Below are 8,122 nucleotides of genomic sequence, written 5' to 3' on the forward strand. Positions count from 1 at the left end.
TTCAGACAACTATATGCTTACTTTACTGAGTGACTCGTGAGAGATTACCAAAGAGAAGGACATATATTTAGCAGATCAGTTAATAGACAAAAGTCAACTTTACAGACTTACCTGGCTGTCATCCATTTTGGCTTTTGGATAGTTAAAGATTAGTTTTGTTGCTTGTTCCCATTTTGCATGTGTATCTTCCCAAGCCTAAAATGAAGGCAATTATCACTTGAAAGCAACTTTAAGTCTAGAGCTAAACGTCAATCAGCAATGGCCAAGTTTCAAACTTGATGTATAATAAGTACTCAGATATTACACTTCTAACACGCACATATCTTGGATTTACTTCAAAAGCTATTCCTGATTACACATATGTGACAATAGGTTTCCAAAATTGAGGGTGGGCGCCTAGGAGGGGTGTTTCTCTTGCTAAGAGCACACCTCAGTGTTTCCTGCAGTGGGATGCTAAGTGCGCCTCCGCAGTGCCATCACTCTTTCTGAAGTGCTGCTGTTCCTAAGCAAATACAACAGCCAATCAAGTCACTGCACTTAGAGCCCTGCCTGCCAATGGAGAACCTCATAAGCCCTACCCAAAAGGCAGAGTAGGAGGAGCAGAGCAAATGCCTCAAATGATAAAGCCAAAAACTTCCTTTCACTAACCTCACAGGAAAGGTACTTATCTTAGACTCTACAATGTCCACAGCACAAAATAGCTATTCCCACCTATAATTTACTCAAAACATATGCCAATGTGCATAAAACTTCACTATCTACAACTTAGGTGGAGTAAATTATATGATCACAACTGATAATAACATATACTGCCAGTTATTTTTAAAACGTATAGCATATTAAAAACTCAGTGGGAGACTATTTCAAATGCTTTTTCTTTTCATCTTTGTTTCATTTCTTTGTTCAGAAAAGGATTTCAAGTAAGCTACTTGAATTTCCCCTGTAAACTTACAAAGTAGTAACCTTAAATACATTCTCACAATTAGATGTCACGTGCTTCAGGCAGGTTGAGTAAAAAAACCACTATTCACATTTACCTGTTGACATCACATTGCTGACAGAGGCAAACTCCATGAATGTGCTACAGTTGGGCAAGAGGTGATGCACTGACACTTCATCCACCCCACACCAGGTATCTGCTTCCTCACAGAGGTGGCGGAAACAGGACATGGCAACCAGAACAGCTTCACTGTCAGGGTTCCACAGAAACATGTACAGCGCCACACTTCTAGTTTGGTCTGCCCTTGTTGGCAAATCGGGGAAGGGGGGGCGGGGGCGGTTGCACTTCATCCTGCTGCACTATCCTGAGAGTCAAAGTTGTAAGACATATATTTGCAACTTGGGTAATTTTATGTATAAAACCCAACAATGCAATAAACTGTGTGTGTGTGTGTGTGTGTGTGTGTGTCTCAGCATACAATAACTCACAAGAGTTTTCTCCTTTAATCATCACAGGAATTTTTCAAACCCTCAAATATCTTGTCCAAATGAGAAATGAGATTATCTGGACCAACATAAAGCTACTCTCTGTCCAATTTCAAATCAAATAGGTATTATCCTATTCCAGATTCCAGAAACATAAACTGATTCTAACATAAACAGGTAAAACACTGTAACATAAATCTGCTGCAGTAATGATATAATGTACTTACCAGTCAATTAGAAATGACAAAAAAAGAAGTAGGCCGGGCATGGTGGCTCATGCCTGTAATCCTAGCACTTTGGGAGGCCGAGGTGGGCGGATCATGAGGTTGGGAGATCGAGACCATCCTGGGCTAACATGGTGAAACCCCGTCTCTACTAAAAACATAAAAAAAACAATTAGCCGGCCGTGGTGGCGGGCACCTGTAGTCCCAGTTACTCAGGAGAGGCTGAGTCAGGAGAATGGTGTGAACCTGGGAGGCGGAACTTGCAGTGAGTGGAGATTGCGCCACTGCACTCCAGCCTGGGCGACAGAGTAAGACTCTGTCTCAAAAAAAAAAAAAAAAAAAAAAAAAAAAAAAAAGAAAGCCTAGGTTTTAAAGACCAATAAAATAGTAAACGTGAACGAGGAAAAAAAGAAATGAGGAAACAGTTACAAACATAGATACTGAAGGTAATTATATGATAATATAGAAATAAAATACAGCCTTTAATTGTACAAGTAAAATATATAAATATTATATACAACTCTGCACTGATAAAATTGAAAAACATGTTTTGTAGGAAAGAACAAACCATGAAAAGTGACTTTAAAAATAATAGAAATTCTTCAAAAAATTAAAAATAGAATAACCATATGATCCAGCAATTCCGCTTCTGGATGTATATTCGGAAGAATGAAAGCAGGGCCTTGAAGTTATTTGTACACCCATGTTCACAGTAGCATTATTTATAATAGTCAAAAGGTGGAAACAACCGAAAAATCCATTGGCAGATACATTTAGATCAATAAAATGTTGGTATATACATACGATATCATTCAGCTTTCAAGAGGAAGGAAATCCTGACATGCTACAACAAGATGAATACTATTTCAGCCATAAAGAATGAAATCCTGCCTTTCAAGGCAACATGAATGGAACTGGAGGACATTATGCTAAGTAAAATAAGCCCATGTCAAAAAGACAAATACTGTATGATTCCACTTATGTGACATAGTGAAATTCAGAGAGACAGAAAGTAGAAGGATGGTTGCAGGAGTTGCAGGTAGGAAAGAATGGAGAGCAGTTGAATAGACACAGAATTTGTTTTGCACAATGAAAAGGTTTTGGAGATTGGTTGCACAACAATGTGAAAGATAGTGCTACTAAACTGTGTACTTAAAAATGGCTAAGATGGTAAATTTTATGTTATGTGTATTCTACCGCATAAAAAATTTTAAAGAGAGACAGAAAAACTACATAGATCCATAAGGCAGCTCAAATAAAAGGTGATTAAAGAGTTATTTTAAATAGACAATAGATAGGCTAGTTCTAGAAACAGCATAAGAAACCAGTAGCAGTACTTGACTTAGGAAGAAAAGTATAAACTGAAGGTCAAGAGGGAGTAGGAAGCTTACTTTTCCACTGAATTCCCTTCCTGATGTATAGTGAAAATTTCCATTATGTCAATTTATTTTTTTCTTTAAAACTAATAAGCAAAAGTCAAAGGAAATCTTAAGAGCTTCTAAACTTGATGATTTTACAATGAATTTCTATCTAATCAGATAATTTCTATTACTTAAATTATTCCAGACCATAGAAAAGAGTAATAGTTCCCAAATTCATATTCTAATTTAGCACAAATAAGTGTTAGAATAACTACTTTCAAAAGTGATAATGCATATTATGTTAAATATACACATGTTCTAAGAATCAGAAAGCTGAAACACTGGAAGGAAATGTTTTATTAAGTAGCTACCCAGTACATTTGCCAATAGCCAACCAGATTTACCTCACGCACACACACAAATCAACATACTAAAAGTAAGGATTTCCAAACATATTTCCACTCCAAATTTAAAGTGAAAGTTTAAATAACATATAAACCATCTGACTGGATACAATTCAGCCCTAAAGCTAGAGTTCAGGGCCCCTTATCTTTTGTTCATTATTAATTTTAAAATTTTTGATGTATTTATTAGTATTTATGAATAACATAGTAACATTCCCATAGATTTGCAGAGATCAAATCGAGGTAATTAGCATATCCATAATCTCATTTATCATTTCTTTGTGCTGGGAACATTCAACATCCTCCTCCTAACTCTTTGAAACTGTGTAACATATTGTTGTTAATTACAGTCATCTTACAGTGCTATACAACACTAGAACTTGCTCTTCCTATCTAGCTGTAATTTTGAAACCTTTAACAAATTGCTTTCTACCATCCCTGCACCCTATGCTTCCCAGCCTGTAGTATTCTGTTCTACTTTTTACCTCTATGAGATCAACATTTTTTTAGCTTCCACAAATGAATGAGAACACACAGTACTTAATGTTCTGTCCCTGGCTTACTTCACTTAATATGATGTCCTCCAGTTCAATCCATGTGCCTCAAACTATAGGATTTCATTCTTGCTTATGGCTAAATAGTATTCCATTGTGTATGTATACCATATTTTCTTTATGCATTCATCTGTTGTTAGATACTTAGGATGATTCCATATCTTGGCTATTGTGAATAGTGCTGCAATAAACACGGGGGTGCCGATGTCTCGTCAATATACTGATTTCCTTTTCTTTGGATAAATGTCCAATAATATATTGTTGGACCATATAATAGTTCTATTTGCAGTTTTTTGAGGAACCTCCACACTGTTCTCCATAGTGGCTGTACTAGTTTACATTTCCACTAGCCACATTTAAGTGTTCACTTTTCTCCACATCTTTGCCAGCATTTGCTATTTTTTGTCTTTTTGATAGTAGCCATTCTAAGTGGGGTGAGATGACACCTCATTGTGGTTTTGATTTGCATTTCCCTGATGACTAGTGATGTTGAGCTTTTTAGGAAAACATATTTGTTGGTTATGTGTCTGTCATCTTTTAAGAAATATCTATTCAGGTCATTTGCCCATTTTTCAGTTGGATTCTTTTTTTTTTTTTTTTTGCTATTCAGATGTCAAGAGTTCCTTGTATATTCTGGATATTAATCCTCTGCTGGATACATACTTTGCAAATATTTTCTCCCATTCTGTAGGTTGTCTTTTCACTCTGCCAATTTCTTCCTTTGAATTAATATTAATTTTTTAAAGAAAAGTAACTTAAACGCTTGACAATATGGAATTAAAAATACAGTACCTTCAAGCTGGGTGCGGTGGTGCATGCTTATAGCTGCAGCTATCTGAAGGCTGAGGCAGAAGAGGATCGCGTAAGTCCAGAAGTTTGAGACCAGCCTGGGCAACATAACAGCAAGACTCAGTCTCTTTTTAAAAAATGGTATATTCAATTTGGGGAACATGCTACAAATCCTCAAAAAACGGGTACAGAAGAAACATACTGCAACACAATAAAAACCACATGAGAGACCCCCACAGCTAGAATCATATGGAATGGGGAAAAATGGAAAGCTTTTCCTCTAAGATCTGGAACATGATAAGGATGCCCACTGTCACCACTGTTATTTAACATAGTACTGGAAACCCTAGCTAAAGCAATCAGTGCAGCCCCTGATATGGCCCCCAACCCACCCTGCCCCCTGCCACCAGCAGTGTAGCCCCCCCGCAATAGCGCACCCAACACACCCAAACCGCCCCGCCTCCCCGAACCACGGGCATTGCAGCACCCCATAGCACCCTCAACCTGAAACCACCACCCCCCCGCAACAGCCGTGCAGTGCAGCCCTGGATAGGACACTTAGCCCACCTCACTGTTGCCAGCAATACAGTCTGGGATAGTTTCCCCAACAGGCTCCCCGCCGAGGGCAGTGCAGCCCCGGTTAGGGCCCCCAAACCACCCCCCGGTGCAGGCAGCACAGCCCCAGATAGCACACCTAACCAGCCACCCAAGGTGGGCAGTGACGCCTGAGATAGGGCCCCCAACCCGTCCCAGGCCAAGGGCAGTGCAGCCCTGGATAGCCACTTACCCCGATGCTTTTCTACACTCTGGCCGGTTGCAGTGTCCATCGCTGCCACCAACCGCAGCGGGCAAGGCAAGCCAGCGAGGCAAGGCGAGGCAAGCCGGCGAGGTGGTGAGCCAGGGAGGCCAGCCACAGCCCGGTAGGCTGCAGCCTCCAGCATGCAGTGGCTGGCACCTCCTACTCCAAGCTGGCAATGGAGCAGCTATGAAGTCAGACGCCGACGAGGCTGGACTAGTGCAACTCTATCTCTTAACATGCTTTATATACCGAGATTATAAACTACATGTTCTGAGTGGATGAGAGGAAAACACTAGGCCTACTCTGATTGGACTTTATTGTCACGTTCTGATTGGTTAGCCTAAGACTTGTTCTGATCCAATCAGAACATGAAAATAACGTCCAATCAGAGTAGGCGTAGATGTTTCTTTCATCCAATCAGAACGTGAAGTCCGAGAACCAGGCCTGCACAACCCCCAGTATATAAGGTATGCTAAGGGGGCGTCGCGCTGTTGCAGGCTATCGTGTGTTAGCCTCTACTTCTCCCGCAGAGTTTGGAGAAAGCGGCAGCAGAGTGTGCTGCCGCAGGCTGGAGCCTGGAACCTGGAGCCCTGGAGCCTTGAATGGTGTGTGGTGGCAATGGAGAGAGGCAGCTGGCAGTGACAGCTGCTCCGTGCTTGGCTACAGGAAGGAAAGAAGGAGAAGGCACCTACCATAGGCTGTAGGCTAGAGCCTGCAGGACTGCGGCTGGCCTCGCTGGCTCGCCTCCCTGGCTGGCCTCGCTGTGGTTGGTGGCAGCGACGGATACTGCAGCTGGCCAGAGTGTAGAAAGGCAATGGGGTAGGTAAGCTATCCAGGGCTGCCCGCGGCGGGGGCTGGTTGGGGTATTATTCCGGGTGTCACTACTTTGGGTGTACTAGAGTGTTATTTTGGGCGTCACTGCTTTTAGGTGTGCTATCCGGGGCTGCACTGCCCTCAGCAGCGGGTGGGGGGGGGGTTGGTGGGGGGCGGGTTGGGGTCACTATCTTGGGCTGTATTGATGGCAGCAGTAGGGCTGGTTGGGGGCGCTATTGGGTGCTGCACTGCCCGCGACAGGGGCCGGGTTGGGGCTGCTATTGTGGTTGCACTGCCGGCGGCATGGTGGTGGGAGGGCTGGTTAGGGTGCGGACTGGTGGGGGTGCTTACTGGTCGGGCTTCATTGCTGACAGCGGGGTGGGGATGCTATCTGGGGCTGCACTGCCCATGGTGGGGGCTTGTTGGGGGCGCTATGTGGGGCTGCAATGTCCATGGCAGGGGAGAGGTTAGAGGCAGTATCAGGTGCTACACTGCTGGTGGTGGGGCGGGGCAGCGGTGGGTGCGGGTAGGTGCTTGGAGGGTGCGGTTTCGGGCGCTATCGGGCCAGACTGCCCATGATAGAGGGCAGGTTTGGGTGCGCTACTAGGGGATACACTCCTCACAGCAAGGGGCGGTTTGGGGGTGATACCCGGCCGGTGGCAGGCGGGGTGGTGGGGTGGGTTGTGGGCACCGTTCGGGGGCTGCACTGTGGTCAGTGGCGGTGGGGCGAGTTAGGTGCTCTATCAGCTGCTGCACTGTTTGTGGTGGGGGCTGGGTTTGGTGTGCTATCGGGGACCATATTTTTGGCAGCGGTATACAGGTTAGGGGTGCTGTCGGAGGCTGCACTGCCCATGGCGGGGTGCGGGTGGGGTGCACTATCCAGGGCATCATTCCCCCTGGGTGGGGGATAGTTGGGGGTGCTATCTGCTATGTAGGGCTGCACTGCTCGTCGTGGGGAGGGGGTTGGGGACCTTAAGGATCCATGGCTGCACTATTGACGGCATGGAGCAGGTGGCCGTGCTCTCCGGGGCATCACTGCCCACAGCCGGGGGTTAGTTGGAGGTCCTATCCGTGGCTGCATGGCCGACGGCAGACGGTAGGATGGGGGAGTTATCTGGTGCTGCGACGTCCGAGGCAGGGATGGGTTGGGGGCGCTATTGGGTTTTACATTGCAGCGGCGAGGGGCGGTGTTGGGGGCGCTATCCCAGAGCCAACATCAGGCAGCGGATTAGGGGCGCCATCAGGGGCTGCCTTGCTGGTGGCGGCAGAGCTTGCAGCAACAGGGTCTCCAAGGAAGGAGCCTTCTTCCTCTTTCTGGATTTCAGACTCTAAAAGGCGATCTCCTCCTGCTCCTGCTAGAGCGCAGCGAGCGCACGGCGTTTCCGCAGTAATCCTGAGCACGGCAAGGACCCCTTACCCGCCGTGGTTCCCGGGGCCACGCCCTTTTCGCTCTGTGTTGCGGAGACCACCTGGCACCCCTAGGCACGCTGGACACGGAGTGGCGGGGACACCACGGGGAGACAGGGCTCTGTGGGTGGAGGCATCAGGATGGGGAACCGGCATTTGGGTGGGAGGGCTGGCTGTGTCTGAGTTCCTGCTGATTTTGTTCCCCAAGGAGCGCAGTCCTGGTGGGCCCAGCGGTTCCTGTGGATTGGAGCCAGGCAGTGTGATGTTACCAGTCACCACTCCAGGTCCCAGTTCCTGGCCCGCTTGAGCCAAAAGGAGAGGCTGGACTTTGGAGGGTGGATATGAG

General features: G+C 45.7%; 1 non-coding gene across 1 annotated transcript; it reads left to right on the top strand.

The window, feature by feature from the left end:
* The first annotated feature begins 5,861 nt into the window (after positions 1–5,861).
* On the top strand, positions 5,862–5,943 carry MIR5701-3 (microRNA 5701-3). Its single transcript, NR_128721.1, has one exon. It is a non-coding gene; the product is annotated as a microRNA 5701-3 (primary transcript).
* The last annotated feature ends 2,179 nt before the right edge of the window (positions 5,944–8,122 follow it).

This window comes from Homo sapiens, chromosome 15 (assembly GCF_000001405.40).
Source record: "Homo sapiens chromosome 15, GRCh38.p14 Primary Assembly".
NCBI lineage: Eukaryota > Metazoa > Chordata > Mammalia > Primates > Hominidae > Homo > Homo sapiens.